The 27,947-nt window shown below is 36.9% G+C and overlaps 1 protein-coding gene and 1 pseudogene across 3 annotated transcripts in view; one reads left to right on the top strand and one right to left on the bottom strand.

The window, feature by feature from the left end:
- COPB1 (coat protein complex I subunit beta 1) overlaps window positions 1-27,947 on the top strand; it is a 42,300-nt gene that overhangs the window by 988 nt on the left and 13,365 nt on the right. For all 3 annotated transcript variants that reach the window (NM_001144062.2, NM_001144061.2, NM_016451.5), the window contains exons 3-14: window positions 4,385-4,614; window positions 5,013-5,182; window positions 8,145-8,259; window positions 10,240-10,332; window positions 12,320-12,457; window positions 15,673-15,792; window positions 17,727-17,834; window positions 17,919-18,065; window positions 19,110-19,255; window positions 21,809-21,905; window positions 22,879-23,039; window positions 24,209-24,329. In NM_001144062.2, coding sequence (NP_001137534.1) covers window positions 4,385-4,614; window positions 5,013-5,182; window positions 8,145-8,259; window positions 10,240-10,332; window positions 12,320-12,457; window positions 15,673-15,792; window positions 17,727-17,834; window positions 17,919-18,065; window positions 19,110-19,255; window positions 21,809-21,905; window positions 22,879-23,039; window positions 24,209-24,329 — 1,646 coding nt within the window. The remainder of the gene's footprint in view (window positions 1-4,384; window positions 4,615-5,012; window positions 5,183-8,144; window positions 8,260-10,239; window positions 10,333-12,319; window positions 12,458-15,672; window positions 15,793-17,726; window positions 17,835-17,918; window positions 18,066-19,109; window positions 19,256-21,808; window positions 21,906-22,878; window positions 23,040-24,208; window positions 24,330-27,947) is intronic.
- On the bottom strand, window positions 19,874-19,930 carry RNU7-49P (RNA, U7 small nuclear 49 pseudogene; annotated as a pseudogene).

Genomic DNA, 27,947 nt, shown 5'->3' with positions numbered 1-27,947 from the left:
TATTTTGAGAATGAAATGAAAAAAGAAAAAACAAAAATAAAAAACTCATATTTCATATTCCTTTATAATTAGAAATGCTTAATTTTTGTCTAAAGTTTTTCTAGGATCTCTTCGATAGACCTTTTATTAAAAATGCGAACTTCTTTAAATATTGGTTGTTTGAAATAGAACATCTCAGTTTATCTTAGTAAACCTAAAGAAATTGTAATAGTTTAGATATTCCTCAAAATGTCATAATTTTTGTAGACTTCAATATATTAATGTGGCTGATTATTTTCTCTAGGCAACAGGTTGAGGATGTGTATTGGAATATCTTAATTCCATCGTGCACTTAACTTCATGTTACTTAGCTTGTAAAACCAAAAGAACTTTGTTCTTTGGATTACCCACCCAAACAATTAGGTGAACACTGGAATAAACATGTATTTTCCAGAAAAGTTTACCTTTTCATTTTTTATGCATTTTTGCAAATAAGAAAACAACTATATTTCTGAACTTTTTGTAATGTTTAATTTTTGGGGGTACACAGTAGATGTATATATTTATGGGGTACATGAAATGCTTTGATACAGGCATGCAATACATAATTATCACATGGAAAAATGGAGTATCCATCCCTTCAAGCATTTGTCTTCTGTGTGACAATCCAGTTACACTTTCAGTTATTTTTAAATGTCCAATTAAATTATTATTGACTGTAGTTACCCTGTGTGCTATCAAATATCGGGTCTAACTCATTTTTTCTGTACCCATTAACCATCTCCACTTCCCTACCACTACCCTTCCCACCTCTGATAACCATCCTTTTACTCTGTCTCCGTGAGTTTGTTTTGATTTTTAGCTTCCACAAATAAGTGAGAACATGTGAAGTTTGTCTTTCTATGCCTGACTTATTTCATGTAACATAATGACCTCCAGTTCCATCCATATTTTTGCAAATGACAAGATCTCATTCTTTTTTTATGGCTGAATAGTACTCCATTGTGTATATGTACCACATTTTCTTTATACATTTATCTGTTGGTGGACACTTAGGTTGCTTTCAAGTTTTGACTGTTGTAAACAGTGCTGCAACAAACATAGGAGTCCAGATATCTCTTTGATGTACTCATTTCCTTTCTTTTGGATATATACCCAGTAGTCGGATTGCTGAATCGTATGGTACCCCTGTTTTTAGTTTTTTGAGGACCCTCCAAACTGTTCTCCATAGTGGGTATACTAGTTTACATTCCCACCAACAGTGTACGAGGGTTCCCTTTTCTCCACATCCTCTCCAGCATTTGTTTTTGCTTGTCTTTTGGATAAAAGCCATTTTAACTGGGGTGAGATGATATCTCATTGTAGTTTTGATATGCATTTCTCTGATGATCAGTGATGTTGAGCACCTTTTCATATGCCTGTTTGCCAATTGTATGTCTTTGTGAAATGTCTGTTCAAATCTTTTGCCCATTTTTAAATCAGATTATGAGTTTTTTTTTTTCCTGTAGAGTTGTTTGAGCTCCTTACATATCTGGTTATTAATCCCTTGTGAGATAGGTAGTTAGCACATATTTTCTCCCATTCTGTGGGTTGTCTCATCACGTATGTCGATTGTTTCCTTTGCTGTGCGGAAGCTTTTTAACTTGATGTGATCCCATTTGTCCGTTTTTGCTTTGGTTGCCTGTGCCTGTGGGGTATTATTCAAGAAATTTTTGGCCAGACCAGCGTCCTGGAGATTTTTCCCAATATTTTCTTGTAGTAGTTTCATAGTTTAAAGTCTTAGATTTAAGCCTTTAATCCATTTTGATTTTATTTTTGTGTAAGTTGAGAGATGGGGGACAAGTTTCATTCTTCTGCACATAGTTTTCCAAGCACCATTTATTGAAGGGACTGTCTTTTCTCCAATGTATGTTCTTGGCACCTTTGTCAAAATGAGTTCACTGTAGGTGTATGGATTTGTTTCTTGGTTCTGTTATTTTCCATGGGTCTTTATGTCTGTTTTTATGCCAGTACCATGCTGTTTTGGTTACTGTAGCTATGTAGGATAATTTGATGTCAAGTAATGTGATTCCTTCAGTTTTGTTCTTTTTGCTTAGGATAGCTTTGGCTATTCTGGGTCTTTTGTGGTTCCATATAAATTTTAGGATTTTTTTTTTTTTTCTGTGAAGAATGTCATTGGTATTTTGATGGGAATTGCATTGACTCTAGATTGCTTTGGGTGGTATGGACATTTTAACAATACTGATTCTTCTAATCCATGATCATGGAATATCTTTCCATTTGTTGATGTTCTCTTCAATTTCTTTCATCAGTATTTATAGTTTTCATTGTAGAAATCTTTCATTTATTTGGTTAAATTAATTCCTAGGTATCTAATTTTATCTGTGGGTATTGTAAATGGGATTAGATTACTTCTTCAATTTCTTTTTCAGATTGTTCACTGTTGTCATATAGAAATGCTACTGATTTTTGTATGTTGATTTTGTGTCCTGGAACTTTACTAAATTTATCATATTTCTGAATTTTAAAAATGTATACCGTGTCTCCTTTTTGTGAGTGATTCTGTCAAGAAAAAAAAAATTTATAATTAATATGCTTTCCAAAGTAATGATTCTTGTTTAATTGAACTGCTAAAAATAAATACAACTTAAACTGATAAATATTGTTTAAACAGAGCAGAGTGAAAATTATGCTTCAAATATAGAAAGGATCTTTTAGAAGATAGTTTGCAGTTTGAAAAGAAACTTAATATTTTACTTGCCTATTCCCACTTCTTAATCAGCAGTAATGGAATACCTCCTGATTCTAGGTTACTTAATACTAGGTTTCTATTGAGGTCTATTTTTAGAGAAGGGAAAAGAAACCCAGTTTTATGATATTTAAAATGATACCATTATATACATAAGCCACATATATTTCCCTTTTTTCATGTTCATGTAGGATAGTTGAATGCAAAATAGTGAATACATTCATTAGTGTTTTTCCTCATAATTTAAAAATTTTCATTGTTAGATCCTCAGGATACCTAAGGTTATAGCTAGGAAGGTAAAGAATAAAATCTGCCCTTAGTTGGAACAATGCCCTAGTCTTAATTGAAGCTGCCTTAGCTACCTTCCTCCAACCAATAAATAAATACATACTCTCCAGTTTAATGTATATTTTTGCCATTAAGAAGAGTTGAGACTGGGCATGGTGGCTCATGCCTGTAATCCCAGCACTTTGGGAAGCTGAGGCAGGTGGATCACTTGACTTCAGGAGTTCGAGACCAGCGTGGCCAACATGGCGAAACCCCATCTCTAGTAAAAATACAAAAATTTTAAGTGGCTATTAAATGAAGAGTTCTGTGGGCCAGATGAACCACCGCATCTGACGCTCAGAACTCTGTTTCATAGCCGCTTAGCTCTAATCATTAGAAATGTATTTCTCATATTTAGGCCCAAATCTGGTTCCCGGTAACTACTACCCATTAGTTGTAGTTCTTTTCCTCATAATGGCCCTAAGGTTATTGAAGACTTGTAATCATTCTTTGTTCTCCCCTTCCCAAGATAATTCATTTATTTTGATGATCTAAACAGTTGTAGTACAGTGTGCTACTACATACTTCTCTGCCTTTGAGTTTTGGATCCAGAAGATTTTTAGTACTATAAATTCTTCAGTATGCAATGATAATGGTGTGAAATTTTAGATAGTTTTGCGTAAAATACTTTATGTTGCAGAGTTTTTAGGCTAAATAACAGTAAACTAGCATTTTATCTTTAATGTGTCATCCTTAATTCTAAATAATGACTACTAATCTAGAACATTTGAATTACCTCCCAGTTTTCCAGATGATATCTTAAGAAAGATTCTAAAGTTTTACAGCCTGCCTGCAGAACTATGATGAGATTTTAGAAATAATCCACTACTTTAGTTTTCAGCCTTTTTGAGTATGACGTTTCTCTTTCTAATGTTAAAAAAGTTACATATTTATCCTCCCATAATAGTAGTTTTAACTTTGTTAAAATGCACACAAATAGCTAAAAGCTGTTTTGAATTCAAAATCAATTAATAGTATGTATTTACATTTTGAAAAATAGCTATATGTGTTTTGAAACACGTTTACTTGGTATGACTGTAGATTCATGGAGCCTGCATTAACTCAATTGGTTAGGAACCAGAAATCTAATCCAGCGCCTTCATATTATATATAAAGAGTCTGATTTCCAGAGATAAATGACTTGAGCAAAGACAGATTATTTGGTGGAGAACCAGGTGGAGAACCTTGTCACTTGGGTTTGTACTTTTATTACCATTGCTGATACTGAAGTAAGAAGGTACATTTTATTTTGTTAATTGCTTTTAAATTTATGTGATGAATTTTCTTTTGAAATAATTGTGCTTTTTTTTAAAAAAATTTTTGATTCAGAAAAAGGAGATGTAAAGTCAAAGACTGAAGCTTTGAAGAAAGTAATCATTATGATTCTGAATGGTGAAAAACTTCCTGGACTTCTGATGACCATCATTCGTTTTGTGCTACCTCTTCAGGATCACACTATCAAGAAATTACTTCTGGTATTTTGGGAAATTGTTCCTAAAACAACTCCAGATGGGAGACTTTTACATGAGATGATCCTTGTATGTGATGCATACAGAAAGGTAAACCAAATCATAATTATTTCTGAATATTGCTTTGAATTTAAATGTAAAATTGGTAGAATGGGCTGTGTTTTAATTGTTAAAATTGAGTCTTTGATAAGATGTAAGTTGTAGAGATTTGGAATTGTAAAAGAGTTATTTTTAAAAGTTTTATTGTCACTTTTCAGACATTTTCTATGCATTTTATGTGTATATATTAATTAAAAAACAGTGACACACATATAAGACATTGATGAGATAGGTAAAAATTGCTTCAGTCAACAAGAATATGATGGAAATTGTCGGTAATCTAGGTTTTTTCTCAAACGTATTTTTTTTCCATTGGAAAGTTTTGCATTAAAATTTTCTTTTTGTAAAAAGCTGAAACTCAGCATTTCATATTTTAATTTTTATATCAGGATCTTCAACATCCTAATGAATTTATTCGAGGATCTACTCTTCGTTTTCTTTGCAAATTGAAAGAAGCAGAATTGCTAGAACCTTTAATGCCAGCTATTCGTGCATGTTTGGAGCATCGACACAGCTATGTTAGAAGAAATGCTGTTTTGGCCATCTATACCATCTATAGGTAAATAAAGATACTGCTTTGGCTTCATTCTGTGAGTACTGTTTAGTCTTTTAGACTAGTGGTTCCAAAGTGGTTGCTTGCAGACTGAATATAGCTTGAAGATATATTTTGTATGGCCAGCACTGTATTTTTTATTATGAACATTGAAAAGTCAAAAGATCTGGCAGCGCTGTTCCTAGCTTCCACAAGACAACATTCTGCTGAACTTGTATAACAGTAACCCCCTTTAAATAAGTTATATACTTTACAGTTTATGACAGTGCTTGTCATTCTCAACCGTATTACTCCAAGCCACTTTATATGTTCACTTGCTTAGCCTCTATAGGCTTTTAACTTTGGTCCTTGTTTTAGAATTCGTTTTGTGGAATGTCGGTCTTTTTACTGTCAGAAGCTTTGAGGAAGGAACTTTTTAAATGAGAAGGGCTACAGTTATAACTGAGTCCAATTCTTAGAAAGCTGAAGATTTTGAATTTTTATTTGTTTTTGTTTTGTTTTGAGATGGAGTTCCACTCTCGTTGCCCAGGCTGGAGCACAGTGGCGCGATCTCGGCTCACAACAACCTCCACCTCCCGGATTCAAGTGATTCTCCTGCCTCAGCCTCCCAAGTAGCTGGGATTACAGGCACCCACCACCACGCCCAGCCAATTTTTGTATTTTTAGTAGATATGGGGTTTCACCATGTTGGCCAGGCTGGTCTCGAACTCCTGACCTCAAGTGTTCCACTCGCCTTGGCCTCCCAAAGTGCTGGGATTGTAGGTGCAGGCTGCCACGCCCGGCTGAGATTTTGGATTTTTAAACCAATTTAAGGAACCAGTTAGATGAAGCTAGAATGCTCAGTTTTTACAGTCACAGGTATCAATTTATTAAGGACTACAATGTAATTTTTATAAGCATCTTTGTACTTTAGTAGATTTGTTGGTTAAGATATAATTTCATAGTTATCTTACTGTTAGATTTTATCCATTAAGGAAAGTGGTATTCTGGTTAATAATGTAGATGAGCCAGGCGTGGTGGCTCATGCCTGTAATCCCAGCACTTTGGGAGGCCGAGGCGGGCCGATAACCTGAGGTCGGGAGTTCGAGACCAGCCTGACCAACATGGAGAAACCCCGTCTCTACTAAAAATACAAAATTAGCTGGGCGTGGTGGCACATGCCTGTAGTCCTAGCTACTCAGGAGGCTGAAGCAGAAGAATTGCTCGAACCTGGGAGGCAGAGGTTGCGATGAACCGAGATCGCGCTATTGCACTCTAGCCTGGGCAACAAAACCAAAACTCCATCTCAAAAAATAATAATAAAAATAATAATAATAATAATAATGTAGGGTGAGTTCCTTTAATGTTACCATACAGACTACACAAATTTCAGAATTTAAACTATAGTGCACATAGAAAAATTAGGCCATTTATAGGACAATTGGAAATGTGAACACTATGTCTTGATATTAGGAAATTATTAATTTTGTGAGGTGTGATGATGAATAATTAGTTTTGCAAGTAAAGAGTCCTTGATTTTAGAGAAACCTACCAATATATTTACAGAAGAAAGGATACATTGCCTGTGATTTGCTTCAAAATAATATGGCAAGAGGTAAATTTGGCAAGGATATAGATGAAACAAAACTAGCTATGAATTATAATTGTTGAAGCAAGGTGATGGATTTTATTAAGCTAGTGTTCACTCTTCTCTGTACTAATATTTCTAAATTTCCAAAAGAAGAGGCAAGTCAGTAAGCAAATAGTACACAACTAATAAAATTCAAGGGACTATGTTTTTCCTCTTAATGTAATTCTTAATATATTGATATGCTTAAAATGTATGCACAACAGTTATTAGAGACATTGGTTAACAGATGGTGTGTTGAATAAATCAGCTTTTTCTGTATTGAACTAGAAAACGTATAATTTGATAATTTAATAGATGAAGGTATAACTTTGTGTTTCCTTCTACCAGTTCCTTTTTTTTTTTTTTTTTGAGACAGAGTTTCACTCTTGTCGCCCAGGCTCGAGTGCAATGGCACGATCTCAGCTTACTGCAGCCTCCACCTCCCAGGTTCAAGCAATTCTCCTGCCTCAGCCTCCCAAGTAGCTAGGATTACAGGCATGCGCTACCACGCCTGGCTAATTTTGTATTTTTAGTAGAGATGGAGTTTCTCCATGTTGGTCAGGCTCATCTCAAACTCCCACCCTCAGGTGATCCGCCCACCTGGGCCTCTCAAAGTGCTGGGATTACAGGTGTGAGCCACTGCGCCCGGCTCCTTCTCCCAGTTCTAATTGATTTGAAGTTTCAAAAAGCAGGCCGGGCGTGGTGGTTCATGTCTGTAATCCCAGCACTTTGGGAAGCCGAGGTGGGTGGATCACTCGAGGTCAGGAATATGAGACAAGCCTGGCCAACGTGGCAAAATGCTGTCTCTACTAAAAAAATAACAAAAATTAGCCTGGCATGGTGGCACGTGCCTGTAGTCCCAGATACTCAGGAGGCTGAGGCAGGAGAATCACTCGACCTAGAAGGCGGAGGTTGCAGTAAGCCGAGATCACTCCACTGCACTCTAGCCTTGTCTGGGCACGGTGGCTCACACCTGTAATCCCAGCACTTTGGAGGCCAAGGTGGGCAAATCATGAGGTCAGGAGTTCAAGACCAGCCTGGCCAACATGGTGAAACCCCATCCCTACTAAAAATACAAAAAATTAGCTGGGCATAGTGGTGGGCACCTATAATCGCAGCTACTCGGGAGGCTGAGGCAGGAGAATTGCTTGAACCCTGGAAGTGGAGGCAGCAGTGAGCTGAGATCGCACCACTGCACTCCAGCCCAGGCAACAGAGTGAGACTCTGTCTCCAAAAAAAAAAAAAAGCAAAAGTATGTTGTAAAGTTTGATTAAATTTAATTTTGGTATTGTCCAGAGAGTTACTAAAATAGTAAAGTAGGCTTTTATTAAATATGGATGTTACCTGTTTTATTTAAAGAAATTTTGAACATCTTATACCTGATGCTCCTGAACTGATACATGATTTTCTGGTGAATGAGAAGGATGCAAGTTGCAAAAGGAATGCATTTATGATGCTAATTCATGCAGATCAGGTGAGGTACTTTTTAAAAAATACTCTTATTACTGTATTTAAGTGACAATTGAAAGTATTACATAGACTTAATCATGTTTTTAGTCAGTAATTTTGTTTATAGTTCATGTGGTTTGTGTATTTTGAAATTTTTAAGCTTGTAGAAAAATACATTTTTTTCTTAACCCTTCTCTAAAATATTGCATATGTATACATTCTTTTTTCAATTAAACATTGAAGAGGCATTTTAGAGCAGCCACCCTACAGTTTTTAAAAATTAAAATTATTATGACTGTTCTTTCCTATGATGGTATAGATCTAAAATTGTTTAGTAGAGAAAAATAGTAGCTTTGCATAGATACATCCTTAGCCATGCCTGTGGAAATAGGGTGGCCTTCAGTGTAGAGGTGTATCCTTTTAGGTTCTTCAACTTTCATACACGGGTGCCAACTCCACATCCTGCTCTGCTGGTGGTTAAAGTACATGGATCTACTTTTGGTTAGCAATTACTCTGTACACCTTGATGCCATCTAATCTTGAAATTTTCTAGCCAGTATTTATCACCAAAATATGGGAAATAATATGCATGAAGTCTGAAAAATATGGAGGCCTTCCAGTCCTCTGAAATCTAGACACTGTGACTTTTTTCCCCCAGATCTTCCTTTAATGGATTGTCCCCCAGTTATTTAAAATTGTGGTAACATACACATAACAAAAAAATTTACCCTCTTAACCATTTTTAAGTGTTCAATGATTTTAAATACATTTATAATGTAGAACCATCACTATCTTCCATCCTCATAACTTTTTTTGTCTTGCAAAACTGAAACTCTGTACCCATTAAAAAATAGCTCCTTATTACCACTTCCTCCCAGTCCCTGGCAGCCACCATTCTACTTGCTGTCTCTGTGATTTTGACTAAGTATTCCGGATAAGTGGAATCATACAGTATTTGTCCTTTTGTGACTGGCTTATTTTACTTAGCCTAATGTCTTCAAGGTTCATTTATGTTGCGGCATGTGTTGGAATTTCTTTCCTTTTTAAGGCTAAATAATACCCCATTGTAAATATATGCTACATTGTGTTTACCTGTTCATCCATTGGTGGACACTTGGGTTGCTTCAATCTTTTAGCTATTAGGAATAATGCTATTGTGAACGTAGATGTACACGTATCTGTTTGAGACTTTGCTTTCTGTTATTTTGGGTATACACCCAGAAGTGGATTTACTGAATATACAGCAATTCTGTTTTTAATTATTTTAGGAAGTGCCATACTGTTTTGCACAGCAGCTCTACCATTTTACATTCTCACTAGTAGTGCACAAGGGTTCCATTTTCTCCACATCCATGCCAACACTTGTTGCTATTGTTTTTTTGATAGTAGCAATGTTAATGGGCACGTGAAGTGGTATTCAATATTGTCATTTTGTCTTCCTAAACAAGATTATGAGAAAGCTGCGTATATGAGCAGTGTTTTGTCCTCTTGTGTAATTGGTTTTACTGACCAATGCTTTTGGCATTATGCTGTTAACCTACATTGAGGGGCGTAATCAGAAATAGTCCAATAAAATTTATTGATACTTTTACTGGAGAGATGTTTTCAGCATTGTAGTTCTGTATATTACAGTGTCCAATATATGAGGACACATAGGAGATTTTTCTTTTAGGTCTCAGTAATAGGAATAACTATACACCTAAGCAGCTGGTTTTGATTGTATGGATACCCTGAATCCCATAACACATAGTGTTTTCCCTCTTTGGTTTAGCTGCTAGAAAATCAGACCCCAGGTTTGTGGCTCATTTCCAGAAAATATATTTAACTTTATGTCTTATATTTTATATGTTAATTTTATTCTTGATTTTTTTCCCAGTTAATTTCTCTTTGCCCTGATCTCCTCATTTGTTTTATATTGAGTTGTAATGTGTGTATTTTTTAAGATGCATTAAGTCCTTCTATTGAATGAGGTGGAGAATGATAAATATATTCTTATTTTTTTTAGGATCGAGCTTTGGATTACTTAAGTACTTGCATTGATCAAGTTCAAACATTTGGAGACATTCTGCAGCTGGTTATTGTTGAACTGATTTATAAGGTAAGAATGATAATCTATGATGAGTAAAATAAACTCAGCAGTTTAAGACAGGGTTAAATACTTTCTTTCTGGGATAATTATTGCTAGGATAATATATTTTAATAGTATAAATATTTTATAGCATAGCCTATTAAAGCCTTTGTTTCTTTTACTTTTGGTTTATTGTATTTTCCAAGTAGAATACTTGCTTATATCCTTTCTAAACCTCCATAAAGATTTTGATAAAAATTCATGGCTTGAGCCAGTGTAGCTGCACATAAATCATTGTGAACTTCCCAGTCACTGAATAGATTATAATTAGGCTTTAAAATAAAATTCAAGATTTTCTTGAGCATACATCAGACTAAAATCAAACAAAAAAGCCTTAAATACTTTTTATGTTCCCTGTTTGTAAAAGAGAATAGAAAAACTTTAAATGCATTAATATGACATTGTAGGCCATTGACAGGAAATCTAAAACCAGCTAAGAATTTTGGATTTTTAAATCAAATACTATATTGGCAACACTTTACTATGATATATCCTTTGAAAGAGTTGGTTACATCTTAATGTTCTGATAAAAGGTACAAGAAGATCCAACTTTGCTATTGATACCATTAGAGGCCAACAAAACATAGGTCCAGATGGCTTTATTAAATATGATAGTATGGTCAAAACACCGGTAGACATTACTAACTGATTATAGCTGTCTTGCTTCTGTAAGAAAGGGGCTCCTCTTAACACAAGGTACCAGTAGTTTGGAATGGGAATTTAAGATGAAACCAAGACTTACTGTACAGTTTTTTTTTGTTTTTTTTTTGTTGTTTTTTGTTTTTTTTGGGCAGAGTCTCACTCTATTGCCCAGGCTGGAGTGCAGTGGTGCGATCGCGGCTCACTGCTGCCTCTACCTCCTGGGCTCAAGCGATTCTCCTGCCTCAGCCTCCTGAGTAGCTGGGATTACAGGTGCACGCCACCGTATCCAGCTAATTTTTGTATTTTTAGTAGAGACGGGGTTTCACCATGTTGGCCAGGCTGGTCCCAAACTCCTGACCTCGTGATCTGCCCACCTTGGCCTCCCAAAGCGCTGAGATTACAGGCGTGAGCCACCATGTCCAGCCTATAGTTCTTTTTAATTCATGTGTATAGTTTAGGATACCACTGAGGTTCTCAAAATTAGCGGTTCCCTGCTATCTAATGACTTAAGTAGGGTCCATGTTATAGTAAAAGGAAATAACTTTTAAGTCATGTCCATGTAATAGAGTTTTGACTATATATATTTTAGGAAAATCTACTACAAATACTGACTTCAAAAGAGAAAAAATAAGGGATATTTACTATACAAGTAAAGGTATCAGGATACATTTAGAATGGGATAGAAATTTTTAGTTTTCTCTCCAATGTTGAATATAGTCTCAAATAATAAGTAGTAGTACTTGGGAAAAATGTGTTATCTTTCTTGCTTGAAAAACTGGTATTTTCCTTTTATTAGCTATTGAGATTTATATCATCCGTCATGTTTCCCTTTGGCATCCAGAATAAACATTTAGGACCAAATTTAATATCCTGTGACAGTACCCATATTAGTGTACTGGGTTAATGTGTCCTTACTTTTGTTACTTTACATTTTCTTTTTCTCTTTCACTTGTGTATAGCATACACATTTTAAGTCATCAGAAAACCTTTTACGAAACAGTAAAAATATAAATTATGATGGGATGAATAAATAAGTGCACAGCTGTAAAAATTATTTTGTTCACACCATCCTATCTAGTAAAGCCATTTCTTATCTATGTTTTTGTTGGCCTCTAACTTGCTTCTTTCTGAAATTACTGATGTTGTGTCATAGTGTCTCATCCCATTTTGTCTGATATTTTCATGTCCTCATAAGACTGTTCTTAGCTTTCATATTGAGAAAACTAGCATCCCATAAGCTGACATTCATGAAAAAACTCCATTTGAAAACAAGCGTTCCTGAAATCGGTTGAAATGTTAATGTTTTCTTCTCCAGGTCTGTCATGCTAATCCATCAGAAAGAGCTCGTTTTATTCGCTGCATCTATAACTTATTACAGTCATCCAGCCCTGCTGTAAAATATGAAGCTGCTGGGACATTAGTGACACTCTCTAGTGCACCAACTGCAATCAAGGTACTGTGTATTTCTTTTGGGGCCAGATTAGATGATAGATTTTCTGTCTTAGCACTCATGATTTAGTGACATTTCAATTCACTATGTGGTTACATGGCACAGAGAGAATAACTACAAACTTATAAAATTATTTGATGCCTTACATTGTTCAGCCTTCCTTCTTTTCTTCCTTCCTGCTTTCATACACACATATATAGATACAGACAGAGAATGACAGTACAGTTAACCTCTGACAACACAGGTTCGAACTGCGCAGGTCCACTTATACATGGACTTTTTTTCTACCTCTGCTACTCCTGAGACAGCAAGACTAATCCCTCTTCCTCTTCCTCCTCCTCCTCCTCAGCCTACTCAGTGTAAAGAGGTTGGGGATGAAGACCTTTATGATGATCTACTTCCTCTTAATGAGTAGTAAATATTTTCCTTATGCTTTTCTTAACATTTTCTTTTTTCTAGCTTACTTGATAAGAATACATTATATAATACATTTAACATACAAAATATGGGTTGTTTTGTTTTGTTTTGAGACAAGGTATTGCTTTGTCACCCAGGCTGGAGTGAGGCAATCTTGGCTCACTGCATCCTCCACCTCCTGGGTTTAAGCAATTCTCCTGCCTCAGCTTCCCGAGTAGCTGGGATTACAGGTGCCCACCGCTATGCCCAGCTAATTTTTTGTGTTTTTAGTAGAGATGGAGTTTCACCATGTTGGCCAGGCTGGTCTTGAACTCCTGACCTCAAGTGATCCGCTAACCTCGGCTTCCCAAAATGCTGGGATTACAGGCGTAAGCCACCGCGCCTGGCCACAAAACATGTTTTAATCAACTGTGTCATTGGTAAGGCTTCTGGCCAACAGTAGGTTATTAGTAGTTAAGTTTTTGGGGAGTCAAAAGTTACGTGCGTGGCTGGGCACAGAGGCTAACACCTAAAATCCCAGCATTTTGGGAGGCCAAGCTGGGAGGATTGCTTAAAACCAGGAGTTTGAGACCAGCCTGGGCAACAAAGAGAGACTCTATCTGTACAGAACCTTTTTTTTTTAATTAGCTGGTGCTAGGTGTGGTGGTGCATGCCTGGAGTCCCAGTACTTTGGGAGGCCAAGGTGGGATGATCGTTTGAGGCCAGGAGTTCGAGGTTGCAGTGAGCTATCGTGGTGCCACTGTACTCCAGCCAAGGCAACAGAGAAAGACAAAAAATAATATGAATTAGCTGGGCATGGTGGTGTGTGCTTATAGTCCCAGCTATTCTGAAGGCTGAGGCATGAGGATAGCTTGAGCCCAGGAGTTCAAGACTGCAGTTAGCTATCATTACTCCAGCCTAGGTGAAACAGTGAGACCCTGTCTCTAAGAAAATAAAAATTAAAAGAAAAATGTTACATGTAGATTTTAAGTTTTAGTGAGTGTTTTCAATAATAGAGTATTTACCTTTCTCCCTTTCTCTAATTTATTCTATCAAGACTATATCATCAGCCCCTAATCTATTCAGAGAATGAGCTGTTCTAAAAGCCAAATTGTTTAAATTGGAGAATTTACTGCTTTACCCAAAACTTGAACTTTTTTTAATTTTTGATTTTGAAATAATTTTAAACTTACAGAAAAATTGCATAGTACAAAGTTCTTTTCTGTTGTTGTTTTTTTGTTTTGTTTTTGTTTTTTGAGACGGAGTCTCACTCCGTCGCTCAGGTTGGAAGATACTGGTGGGATCTTGGCTCACTGCAACCTCCGCCTCCCAGATTCAAGTGATTCTCCTGCCTCAGCCTCCTGAGTAGCTGGGACTACAGGCGCATGCCACCACACCCAGCTAATTTTTGTATTTTCGGTAGAGACAGGGTTTCACCATGTTGGCCAGAATGGTCTCGATCTCCTGACCTTGTGATCCACCCGCCTCGACCTCCCAAAGTGCTGGGATTATAGGCATGAGCCACCATGCCCGATGAGGACAACATTCTTATATATTCTTCACCCAGCCTTTCTCATATGTTCACATTTTCTATAATCATATAATTGTCAAAACTACAAAATTAACATCAGAACAATATTATTAACCAAACTACAGGCTTTATTCATATTTCATCAGTTTTCCCACTGACGTCCTTTTTTTGTTCAGGATCTAACCTAGGATCCCATATTGTATGCAGTGGTCATATCGTAGTCTCCTCCAATCTGTGCTAGTTCTTAGTCACTTATTATTTTTCATGACCTTGACGCATTTGAAGAATACTGGCTGGTTTGTTTGTAAAATATCCCGTAACTTGGGTTTGTCTGATGTTTTCTCAGATTGAGGTTGTACATTTTTGGAAAGAATACCACAGAAGTGATGTGTCCTTCTTAGTGTATCTTACCAAGGAGTACATGATGTCTGTATGTCTTATTACTGATGATGTTAACCTTGATCAGTGAAGGTGCTGTCTGCCAGATCTTCCAGTTTTATGATTTCTTCTAGTGTAATCAGTACATGTTGTAGGGGGAGATACTTTGAAACTATGCAAATATGTTGTTCCTCAAATTCACACCTACTTATTTTAGCATCCATCAGTGGATTTTCTTACAATTATTGCTTTGGTATTCTAATGGTGGTTTTCTATTTCTCTCATTCAGTATTTATTTATTGGAATTCTTATGCAAGGAAGGGCTGTTCTTTCTCTTCCCTCCCTCCCTTCTTTTCCTTCCTTCTTTCTTTGTATCAGTATGGACATTTTATTCTATCATTCTAAAATACTTTACACATTTTTTGTCTTATTAATAGTTATTATAAATACTAAAATATTTTAACAACTCTGGGTGATCTTTATATTCTTGTTGTTTGTGTACTGCAATGCAGATGAGTTAGACTTTGCCTCTAAACTGAAATATGCTTAATCGATGTACTTCTTGGGATTCTTTTCCTGCATTTTTCTGGCTTGTTCCTTAGTTTTAACCCTTAAATTTTGGCTGTTAGTAAGTATGTCTACCTATAGCAGCTTTTTTTCATCCTTTTAATTTGTAATGCCTCTAATCTTCTGTAAGTTTGAAAAATAACAAGGGACTAGAGGAACCCATTCCTCAGAACAAAATGTATAATATATAAACTCTAGTACAGGGATTAATTAATGAGTGTATTTTGGCTTCATGGGAGTGTGTGTGTGTGTGTGTGTGTGTGTGTGTGGTGTGCGCGCGCATGCTTATTTTCAAATTTTATGATAGATGAATAACTTCTTAAAATGTATTTCTTTTTTTATATAGGCTGCTGCTCAGTGTTACATTGATTTAATTATTAAGGAGAGCGACAACAATGTAAAACTCATAGTTTTGGATCGCTTGATAGAATTAAAAGAGCATCCTGCTCATGAACGAGTACTACAGGTAAGTGTTATCTGAAAAAGAGAGATCCTAAATAAAATGTTTTTCAAATTTAGGTCATTCTCAAGCTTTGCCCATCTTGGTTAACCTAAATGCTTGGAAACTGAGCAGTTTATATTTTGATCAGCTAAAGTGTTAACTATTGAGTCATCATAGCCTTTTGGGGTATTATCTTTACCACAAAAAATATTTCTAAAATGGCTGGACGCGGTGGCTCACGCCTGTAATCCCAGCACTTTGGGAGGCAGAGGCGGGCACATCATCTGAGGTCAGGAGTTTGAGACCAGCCTGGCCAACATGGTAAAACCCTGTCTATACTAAAAATAACAAAAATTAGCTGGGTGTGGTGAAGTGCGCCTGTAATCCCAACTACTTGGGAGGCTGAGGCAGGAGAATCACTTGAACCCAGGAGGCAGAGGTTGCAGTGAGCTGAGATCGTGCCACTGCACTCCAGCCTGGGCAACAGAGTGAGACTCTGTCTCAAAAAAAAAAAATGTTTTTCTAAAGTGAATCAGTATTATATTTTTTTATCTTTTCGGTTTGTACTGTATTGACTATTCTTAGCGACAGTGACATACTCATTTTAATTTGAATATAATTTACATTTCGTGGAAAATTATTATACCAATTGAGAATAAAAGGTGATCTGATTCTAGAAAATTATCACCATATTTGTTTAATCCATGAGAATAATAATGGTTATAAAAATAAAACCCCATGGCAGGTAAATGCAGTGCTGATCTTGGATCAGAACAACAGCAACAACAAATTTCTATGAAGGACATTATTGGGACAGATTGAGAAATATGAATATGGTGTGTATATTAGTTAATAGTATTGATCAGTGTTAAATTCTCTGATAATTATAATGTGGTTATATAAGAAATTATCCTTACCCTTGAGAGAGATACACTAAAATTATCAGCAGTAAAGAGCAAATGTGGGCCAGGTGTGGTGGCTCATGCCTAAAATCGCAGCACTTTGGGAGGCTGAGGCAGGTGGATCACCTGAGGTCAGGAGTTCGAGACCACCCTGACAAATATGGTGAAACCCTCCCTGTCTCCATTAAAATACAAAAATTAGCTGGACATGGTGGTGTGCAACTGTAGTCCCAGCTACTCAGGAGGCTGAGACAGGAGAATTGCTTGAACCCAGGAGGCAGAGGTTGCAGTGAGCCAAGATCTTGCCACTGCACTCCAGCCTGGGTGACAGAGCAAGACTCCATCTCAAAAAAAAGAAAAGAGCAAATGTGGGAAGATATTAACTGGTGAATGTAGGTGAAGGATATACAGGAGTTCACTCTTAGAACTTTTTTATCAGTTTCGAATTGTTTTTAAGTGTGCATCTTTTAAATGTTACATTTTCCTATGGAGTCAAATAATATCACATTTAACGAAATTGTTAATAATTTATGAATGTTATCTAATACCAAGTCTATATGTAGATTTTCCCAGTTATCCCAAAAGCCCTTTTTGTTTAGTTTGCCCATTTTGTGACCATGTATCGTATTTGGTGGTTATGCCCTTTCAGTCTCTTAATTTTGGACAGTATCTTTTTTTTATGACACTGATTTGTTGAAGAGACCAGACCAGTAATACTATAAAATGCCCCTCTTTCTGGATGTGTATGGCTACTTTCTTACGTTGTTTAGCTTGTTCTTTGACTTCTGTTACTTTCTATAAACTGTAAGTTGGAGCTTTAGCTTTAGCTTGACAGAGTCAAAGTAAACATTATCAGTTTGAATGTGTCATGTGCTATTATTTCATATTGCAGTGTATCAGGAGACCCAAACTATCTAGTTCTTCCACCACTAGTGGTTTTGTTATTGATTAAAGAATTAAAGTGATGATAGATAAACCCCACCATTCTGCAGTGAAGATTTTTTTCCTGTGACCAGAAAGATTGGTGTTAATTCTTGATTTTTTCTTCTTTTTTAGGATCTGGTTATGGATATCCTAAGAGTATTGAGCACACCAGACTTAGAAGTACGAAAGAAAACTCTGCAGTTAGCACTGGATCTTGTCTCTTCTAGAAATGTTGAAGAGGTAAAAGGAAACTCTGACAGCACTTTGTAGCTATCAGGCCCAAATATGATGTAACTCTCACTTATTTTTACTTCATTCTATAAGCTGGTTATTGTCCTGAAGAAGGAAGTGATAAAAACAAATAATGTGTCTGAGCATGAAGATACTGACAAATACAGACAACTCCTAGTGCGAACATTGCATTCCTGTTCTGTCCGATTTCCAGATATGGCTGCAAATGTTATTCCTGTGGTATGTAATTCTGATGACTTTAATTTTGAAATTATCTAAAAGAATTTTTTAAAAAATATAGTTATTTGACAAACTCCAGAAATCTCAGCTGCCTAGAACCATTAAATCTCATGGTGAGAAGTGATCTTTATATCTACCTCTACCTTTAAACTCAGAAGGGTGAGGACTGACTTCTTTCACTTATATATTCATCAAAAAAACAAAAACAGTGACCAAAAAAAAGCTTTGCATATTATTTTAATTGATGATACAGTTACCTAAAGTAAAATTATGCTGTGTATATATATTATTCAGTAAGGCAAATAGGTATTTATTTTAAATAGCTTTAGCTCTTAAAGGAATCAGTTATAGGAAAAATTCACATATGTAGAATATTTTGCTGTCACTGTCAGATAAGTGAGGTATGTTATTATAATTTGATTTTTGCCTTTGAGCTCTTGAGTTCTCTCTAAAATGATTTTAGTTACAATTTAGGAGGATCGAATTCATTTATTTATTTGGAGTTTTGGATCTCTAGCTTATCTTTTATAGTGAATTTTAAAATAAATTTTGCTGCACATAAAATGGAAAAGCCATTGTGACTTTGTTTACATAATAGTACTTGTCTCTCAATTTACATTTTGTTGTGTATTTGAAAATTATTAAGAATTACAAGGGTCAGGCATGGCACTTCATGTCTGTAATTCGAGCACTTTGGGAGGGCTAGGCAAGAGGATTACTTGAGGCCAGGGATTCAAGACCAGCCAGGGCAATATAGGGAGACCCTGTCTCTACAAAAAAATTAATATTAGCTAGGCATAGTGTCATGCCTGAAGTCCTAGCTCCTGGGGAGGCTGAGGCTGCCAGAGGATCACTTGAGCCCAAGAGTTCAAGGCTGCAGTGAGCTATGATTGTGCCACTATTCTCTAGCCTGGGCAGCAAAGCAAGACCCTGTCTCTTAGAAAACAAAAAAAGAATTACATTCTTTTAATTTATTTCTTGTCCTAGATAATTTTCTTTTCGAAAATTGTTAGTTCCATTTTCTTTTTTTTTTTTTTCTTTTAGTTAATGGAATTTCTCAGTGACAACAACGAAGCAGCAGCTGCTGATGTCTTGGAGTTTGTTCGTGAAGCCATTCAGCGCTTTGATAACCTGAGAATGCTTATTGTTGAGAAGATGCTTGAAGTCTTTCATGCTATTAAATCTGTCAAGTAGGTTTAAAATACATTTAAATGTAAGGTCAAGTAAGCATTTTATCAGTTTTTATCTTTAAAGGGTCAGTTGATAGAAAATAGAATGGAGAGGACAATCAAGCCAAAATAAGACAAGTTTGTACAACAAGCATCTCGCTAACTCCACTCTCATTTAGTCTATAATAAATGGCCCAAAATAATTTTTTTAGGAGTGATTTAGCTCAGGGTCTCTATTCTGATTTTCTCTAAAACATTGTGAATCTTAAAGTAACTAAAGAGCATATTTTTAAATGGCATCACTTTTTGGCTATTACTATTATTTATATCTTCCTTTCACATTTAATGAAGAGAAAGATTGAAAATGCAACCTAAATCTGTCTTTCCCTTCAGAGAGCCTTTGCTAATGAGAAAGGACTGTTGCATCTAAATTTTGCTTCATTTAAAGCATCTGATGGATAGTCTCTAACAGACTTGAAATATGTCTCAGGAAGGAAGGGACAAGTACAAAATTGTTTTTATGATATGAAAATATATTAATATTTATGGAAGTGAGCAGAGCAGGATTTGCTTCCTTTGTGAGAAGAAAATCATATTAAGGATTTGCTTTTTTTTTTTTTTTTTTTTTTTTTGTGAGAGGGCTTTCCGGCAAAAACCAGAAAGCCTGCTAAACAAATTTTAAAAGAGCTATGACATTAAGAATTTGTTTTTGACAGCCATAATCTCTTAGAGCTTTGGTTTCTATAATTAAGTTTTTCTGAATAAATTTAATTAAAATCTTAGGGGAAAGATGACTAAGGACTTTATTCAGTTTAACATTTTAAACTAAAGAATTGTTGGCTGGGTATGGTGGCTCACACTTGTATTCCCAGCACTTTGGGAGGCCAAGGCAGGAGAATTGCTGGATGTCAGGAGTTGGAGACCAGCCTGGGCAACATGGTGAGACTTTGTCTCTATTTATTTTTTTAATCTAAATGAATGAATGAATGGTTGCTTTCTTTACTATTATTTTTTTACTGATCCCTTGTACTTCTTCTGTATCCATTGTTCAGTTCAACACCTTGCCTCTTCAGTGACTGAAAATAAAAAGTGAATTACTTTTTACATTAAAATAATACATTCCTGATTTTTTGTTTTTGTTTTTGTTTTGTTTTTACTTTATTTATTTATTTTTTTAAGAGAGATGAGGGCCTTGCTTTGTTGCCCAGGCTGGTCTCGAACTCCTGGACTAAAGCAATCCTCCCACCTCATCCTCCCCAGATGCTGAGATTACAGGTGTGAGCCACAGTGTCTGGCCATAAAATAATACATTTCTTAGAGTAGTAAGAGATTAAGCCAAATTTGCCTTCACTGTGTCCTAAATGGACACTTTACTGGGAAACATTTTGGTATTTTATTTTTACTGCTAGGTTTACCAGTTTTAGAATGTTCCTAATAATAAGAACAGTTATTTTACTTTTAATCTTTGTGATTTCTGGAGAGAACTGAAACCTAGGTTTTGTTAGATTCTTTCTGAAATATTTATCTAAAATACTTTAGAACTGCAGAATCTTGTTGGTTTTTGTTTTTTGTTTTTTTGTTATTGAGACAGAAGCTTGCTCTGTCACCCAGGCTGGAGTGCAGTGGCGCTATCTCAGGGCATTGCAACCTCCGCCTCCTGGATTCAGGCAGTTCTTTTTTTTTTTTTTTTTTTGAGATGGAGTCTTGCTCTGTCTCACAGGCTAGAGTGCAGTGGCGCGATCTCGGCTCACTGCAACCGCCGCCTCTCATGTTCAAGCGATTCTCCAGCCTCAGCCTCCCAAGTATCTGGACTACAGGTGCGTGCCACTGCATCCAGCAAATTTTTTTTGTATTTTCAGTAGAGACGAGGTTTCACCATGTTTGTGAGGCTGGTCTTGAACTCCCAACCTCAGGTGATCCGCCCGCCTCAGCCTCTCAAAGTGCTGGGATTACAGGCGTGAGCCACTGTGCCCGGCCTCAAGGAGCTCTTATGCCTCAGTTTCCTCAATAGCTGGGATTACAGATGTGCATCACCATGCCTGGCTGATTTTTGTATTTTTAGTAGAGATGGGGTTTCACCATGTTGCCCAGGCTGGTTTTGAGCTCCTGGGCTCAAGTGATCCGCTGGCCTCAGCCTCCGAATGTGCTAGGATTACAGGCGTGAGCCACCGTGCCTGGCCCTTGTTTTTTTTTTTTTTTTGAGACGGAGTCTCGCTCTGTCACCCAGCCTGGAGTGCAGTGGCGCGATCTTGGCTCACTGCAAGCTCCGCTTCCCGAGAATGGGTTCCCGCCATTCTCCTGCCTCAGCCTCCCGGGTAGCTGGGACTACAGGCGCCCGCCACCATGCCCGGCTAATTTTTTTGTATTTTTAGTAGAGACGTGATTTCACCATGTTAGCCAGGATGGTCTCGATCTCCTGACCTCGTGATCCGCCCGCCTCGGCCTCCCAAAGTGCTGGGATTACAGGCGTGAGTGCCTGGCCCTTGTTTTTATTTGAGCTTAAATTAACAAAGAAAGATCTCTGCTTCAAGATTTGTCTGCCAAGTTCATGTTTCAGATCTTGTATTGTGCTAGGATTTACCGAGGAGCATTATGGATCCTGGGAGAATACTGTAGTACCAAGGAAGACATTCAGAGTGTGATGACTGAGATCCGCAGGTCCCTTGGAGAGGTATGTTTTACTTTAGTAAATGTTAGTTTATATGGTAATTTTTCCTTTAGGAAAATCTGACTTTTTATAGTGATTTGCTTACATTATTTACACTTCTGAGTTAGATTTTGTTTGAACAAAATGTTCTGTGTTTATTAAAAAAAAAAAAAAAAAAAAGAAGCAGTAGCTTGTAAAATTCTGCTTTAGCCTGTATTCTGAAGGAAGAATGCCTTAGAGTAAGTCTGACTTCAGAATATTTATGCAGTAAAACTGACAGTATTCTTCATCCTAACAACCTTATGGTAGAATAGAAAGAACAGTGGACTAATTATCAGGAGACCTGACAATTAGTTCTAGTCATTGTTGTGTCGACAGTTAGCTGGAGGACCTTGAATATAAGTTCCTCAACCTAACTTGACATCAGTGTTTTTCACCTATAAAATAAATTAAAATAGGTAATGATTAAATACTCTTAGTGCTCTTATATTAGGTAATGGACTGGTATTGAGTAATAAATACATAATAGCCATTCAGTTAATTTAAAAGTTAGTTGATGAGGTTATTATGTACAAATAAGTCGGATTTATTTCATTTTAGAAGGATGAGTACTGTTTTGGTTAAAATTTCAAGGAAAGGAATGAAGAAGAGGAATACGACTTAATGACCATCTGCTTTGTGTTAGACACTGTCCAATGCATTTTTCTATTAGGTAAAATGTGTAGAAAGAATTAAGATTTCCACTTAGCAGATTAAGAAACTGAGGTCCAAAGTAGTAAGTGGCAGAGTGAGAATTCAAACCCTGGAATATCCATCTCTGAAGCCCCTATTCTACCTACTACATTATCCTGGGAAGGAAATAAATTGAAAGCAGAGTTCCCAGTTCCAAAAATCCCATTAGGGTAATGCCTTTTTTAGAGAAACAATCAAATATTTAAAGATAATTTTGCTTGCTGTTGATACTATTACTAAAATGATGTTTCCAATTGACTTTTAGATCCCAATTGTAGAGTCAGAAATAAAGAAAGAAGCTGGTGAATTAAAACCTGAAGAAGAAATAACTGTAGGGCCAGTTCAGAAATTGGTTACTGAAATGGGTACCTATGCAACTCAGAGTGCCCTTAGCAGTTCTAGACCCACCAAGAAAGAGGAAGACAGGTAATTTATGGCACATATACCCTGCCAGCTGTACTACTTTTATTATTACTCTTGTATGTAAGACAGTCAAATGATTTCTTTCCTCTTGCTTTTGCAACCAAAATGAAAATCTTTGCCATTTAAGGTACTTGAGAAGCGGAGGATGTTTAAGTTCTTCCCCCTAGGAATTGTATTGATGGTTTTAATTCTCTGTCCCTTCCAGTGTTTTTATGGAAATAACTGTTCTGTTTAAACTCAAATTATTTTTACTCAGAAAATGCTAAGTGGGGGTAACTGAAGATATTTGAGTTTTGTTGTTTATTAGCATCTGAAAACATTTTGAAGATTTTTCAATTTCTAAATGATGGAATAAAATTGTGCATTTTTCTATTAAGTAAATTTTAATGGTGAAGATGGTGAAATCTTTGCCTAAAATTTTACTGAATACCCACTAAGTGCTAGGCATTGTGCTAAGTAGTTTGTCTCATATAGTCTTGACAATAAGCCTTTGAGATAGAATATATTATCTCCATTTTATGGAAGAAGAATTTGAGGCTTACCCAGTAAATAAACAGGTAAGCTGGAATTCGGAGGTACTTCATTAGCTGCAATTACGTATGCCCCTAATTAAATATTGTATCTTTCCATATTCTGATGGCTTTTGTGTCATTCAAAGATAAGTTTTCTTTTTTTTTTTTTTTTTTTTTTTTTTGACACAGAGTCTTGCTCTGTCGGCCACGCTAGAGTGCAGTGGCGCGATCATGGCTCACTGCAACCTGTCTCCTGGGCTCAAGCAGTTCTCCTGCCTCAATCTCCTGAGTAGCTGGGATTACAGGTTTGTGCCACCATGCCCAGCTAATTTTTGTATTTTTAGTAGAGACGGGGTTTCACCATGTTGGCCAGGCTGTCCTCGAACTCCTGACCTCAGGTAATCCGCCCGCCTTGGCCTCCCAAAGTGCTGGGATTACAGGTGTGAGCCACTGCACCTGGCCAAAGATAAGTTTTAAAGTCATGTATTATTTTTCTTTTTCCTTCTTTCTTCTGGGAGCTAAGGAGTTAGTTAGCTAAGGTATCCTTATCACTGAAGGATGGTAATAAGAGTGTTTAATAGGCCTATATCATTCATTTATACAGAAGCTGCATGCTGCTTAGCAAGTTGGTGGGTTTGATTTTCCTTGGTTGCTTTGCAGACCTCCCTTGAGAGGATTCCTTCTGGATGGAGATTTCTTTGTTGCTGCCTCCCTTGCCACAACTCTGACCAAGATTGCATTGCGCTATGTAGCTTTGGTTCAGGAGAAGAAAAAGCAAAATGTAAGTTCATTTATTTTACATTTAACCAACAATTAAACATTGAGTGCCTACTATATGCATTGAACAGTGAGGGACTCAAAAATTAATGCTAAGTTTCTGTCATGAAAGAGTTTATGATTTAATAGCAGAAGTGGACACAGTAATATATTACTCTAAAATTGATAAAGTATCTTCCTCTTCTGTTTGGGCTTTAAAAAAATGAAAATTGACAAAGTAATACAATAACAATGTCATGTGATTATTCCAGTGGAAGAGAAAGGATTTATGAAGTCACCTCAGTTTGCTGGGATTAGTTCAGGACCAGTGAAGGAAATGTCCTTCTCTCCAGCATCTGCATCCATTCGGTCATTGTCTGTTTTATCCCAGAATGTCTCTTAAGTTATTCTCATCTGTAGTTCATGCCTGCTTTGTAGCTTCTGACCGTTCTAACCAAACACCCATTTACAATGGTATGCAGTTGGTCCTCCATATTCACAGCTTCTGCACCTGCAGATTCAACCAACTATGGATTGAAAATATCTTTTTTAAAAAATGATAAACAGTAAAAAATAATAGAAAGTTGAAAACAATGCAGTGTAACAATTATTTACATAGCATTTACAGGCATACTTCATTTTATTGTACTTTGCACATATTGCTTTTTTTTTTTTTTTTAAACAAATGAAGGTTTGTGGGAACCCTGAGTTGAGCAAGTCTGTTAGCATCATTTTTCCAAATAAGCATATGCTCACTTCATATCTCTGTGTTACATTTTGGTAATTCTCACAATATTTCAAACTTTTTCATTATTATTACATCTGTTATGGTGATCTGTTATCAGTGATCTTTAATGTTACTATCATAGTTGTTTTGGGATGCCAGGAACCATTCCCATATAAAATAGTAAACGTAATCAATAATTGTTGTGTGTGTTCCGGCTGTTACCCCGTCTCTTTCCTCCTTGGGCCTCCCTATTCTATTCCCTGAGATACCACAATATTGAAATTAGGCCGGTTAATAATCCTACAGTGGCTTCTAAGTGAAGGGAAGAGTCACATGTCTTTCACTTTAAATCAAAAGTGAGAAATAATTAAACTTAGTAAGGAATGCATGTCAAAAGCTGAGCTAAGCCAAAAGCTAGGCTGCTTTTGCCAAGTAGGTAGCCAAGTTATGCATGCAAAGGAAATGCTCTTAAAGGAAATTAAAAGTGCTACTCCAGTAAACACATGAATGATAAGAAAGTGAAACATTTGGCAGGCGTGGTGACTCACACCAGCACTTTGGGAGGCCCGAGACAGGCGGATCACGAGGTCAGGAGTTCGAGACCAGCCTGGCCAACATGGTGAAACCCTGTCTCTACTAAAAATACAAAAATTAGCCAGGTGTGGTGGCAGGCGCCTGTACTCCCAGCTACTTGGGAGGCTGAGGCAGGAGAATTGTTTGAACATGGGAGGCAGAGGTTGCAGTGAGCTGACATCACACCACTGCACTCCAGCCTGGGAGACAGAACAAGACTCCGTCTCGAGGAAAAAAAAGAAGAAGAAAGAAAGCGAAATAGCTTTATTGCTGATAGAAAGTTTGAGTGGTCTGGATAGAAGATAAAACCAGCCACAAGATTCCCTTAAGCCAAAAGCCTAATCCAGACTAAGACCTTAACTCTCTTCAATTCCATGAAGGCTGAGAGAGGTTAGGAAGCTTCAGAAGAAGAGTTTGAAGCTAGCAGAGGTTGATTCATGAGGTTTAAGGAAATAAGCCCGTCTTCATAATGTAAAAGTTTGACATGAAGTAGCAAGTCCTAATGGAGAAGCTGTGGCAAGTTATCTGGAAGATCTAGCCAAGATCATTGGTGAAGGTGACCACACTAAACAACAGATTTTCAGTGTAGACTAAACAACCTTATATTGGAAGAAGATGCCATCTAGGACTTTGGTAGCTAGAGAGAAGTCGGTGCCTGGCTTCAAAGCTTCAAAGGATAGGCTGACTCTTTTGGTAAGGGCTAATACAACCAGTAACTTAAGTTGAAGCCATTGCTCATTTCCCATTTTGAAAATCCTAGGGCTCTTAAGAATTGTGCTTAATCAACTCTGTCTGTGCTCTGTCAGTGGAACAACAAAGCCTGGATGTCAGCACATCCTCTTTACGGGATGGCTTACTAAGTATTTTAAGCTCACCATTGAGACCTACTGCTCAGAAATAAAAGACTCCTTTTAAAATATTACTGTTCATTGACAATTTAGCTGGTCACCCAAGAGCTCTGATGGAGATGTAGAAAGAAATGAATGTTTTCATGCCTGCTAAGACAACATCCATTATGCTGCCACTGATCAAGTAGTTTCAACTCTTATTATTTAAGAAACAGAATCCATAGAACATTTGTGGTAGTAGCGCAGAGTTGGTTACAATGTCCTACCACAGCAATTTCTGACATTCAAATTGGGCCTGTAGCAATGGGACTCCTTTTGATTCCTTCAGCTTTCGTATTATGTTGGTTATCTATACAGCAGGTTTCTAAATTGAAACACTTTCACTCACATCACTCATATTTCCTTCGTTTTTGGAGACTAACAGCTTGATCTAAAAAAAAATTTTTTTTTAGACGGAGTCTCACTCTTCTTGCCCAGGCCGGAGTGCCATGGCATGATCTCAGCTCACTGCAACCTCCGCCTCCTGGGTTTAAGCAATTCTCCTGGCTCAGCCTCCCGAGTAGCTGGGGCTACAGGCGCCTGCCACCACGCCTGTCTAATTTTTTTTGTATTTTTAGTAGAGACTGGGGTTTCACCATGTTGACCAGGCTGGTCTCGAACTGCTGACCTCAGGTGATCCGCCCACCTCGGCCTCCCAAAGTGCTGGGATTACAGGCATGAGCCACCGTGCCTGGCCAGGTTCTTTTTGTTTTTGTTTTAATTCCATTATAAGAAAAGCCATAAATGAGAGCCAGATAATTTACAAGGTATATTATCCCTTAATTGATTTGATTTTTGAGCAATAATTTATTTTGTAACTCTTTTGTGGGCATTTATTTATTCAGGTCTGGTCACAGTATAATCTTTAAAGTATGTTTTTTAAAAGTCTCCAACATTTTTTTATCTCAGAGTTGAATTTGCTTTCCTCTCCTGGTTGCATCACTTCTGGAAGTTGGGAGTGTTTACTGATACCTGCTTAAAAGAGCCAGTTTCTTGTAACATACCGAGTTAATAATGTTTGCACTGTTTGGTACAAGAAGGAAGTTTGGTTGCTTATAATCTCACTGGCACTCCTTCATTTATGCCATTTCCAACACTCTTCATTTCTTTGTGTAGGACTAAGTTTCTGGTATCATACATCTTTTGCCTAAAGAATTTGCTTTAACTTTTCTTATAGTGCAGATTTGTTGGCAACAGATTGTTCCAGTTTTTGTCTGGAAAAAGCCTATTTTTTTGTACACTTTAGAAAGTTACCTTTGTGGGTATAGGATTCTAAGTCTTCTGTTTTTTTTTCCCAGTAGTGTAAAAGTAAAGCTCCATTGTCTTCTGGCTTTTTGGTGAGAAGTCTACTGTCATTCTTATCTCCCTGGGTGTAGAGAGAGAGAGAGTGTGTGTGTGTGTGTGTGTGTGTGTGTGTGTGTGTGTGTGTGTGTATTTCTTCCACTGGTTTTAGATT

The sequence above is a fragment of the Homo sapiens genome, chromosome 11 (genome assembly GCF_000001405.40).
Source record: "Homo sapiens chromosome 11, GRCh38.p14 Primary Assembly".
In the NCBI taxonomy this organism is placed as follows: domain Eukaryota; kingdom Metazoa; phylum Chordata; class Mammalia; order Primates; family Hominidae; genus Homo; species Homo sapiens.
Note: the sequence above shows the minus strand (reverse complement) of the source record. Positions and strands in the feature narration are given on the sequence as shown.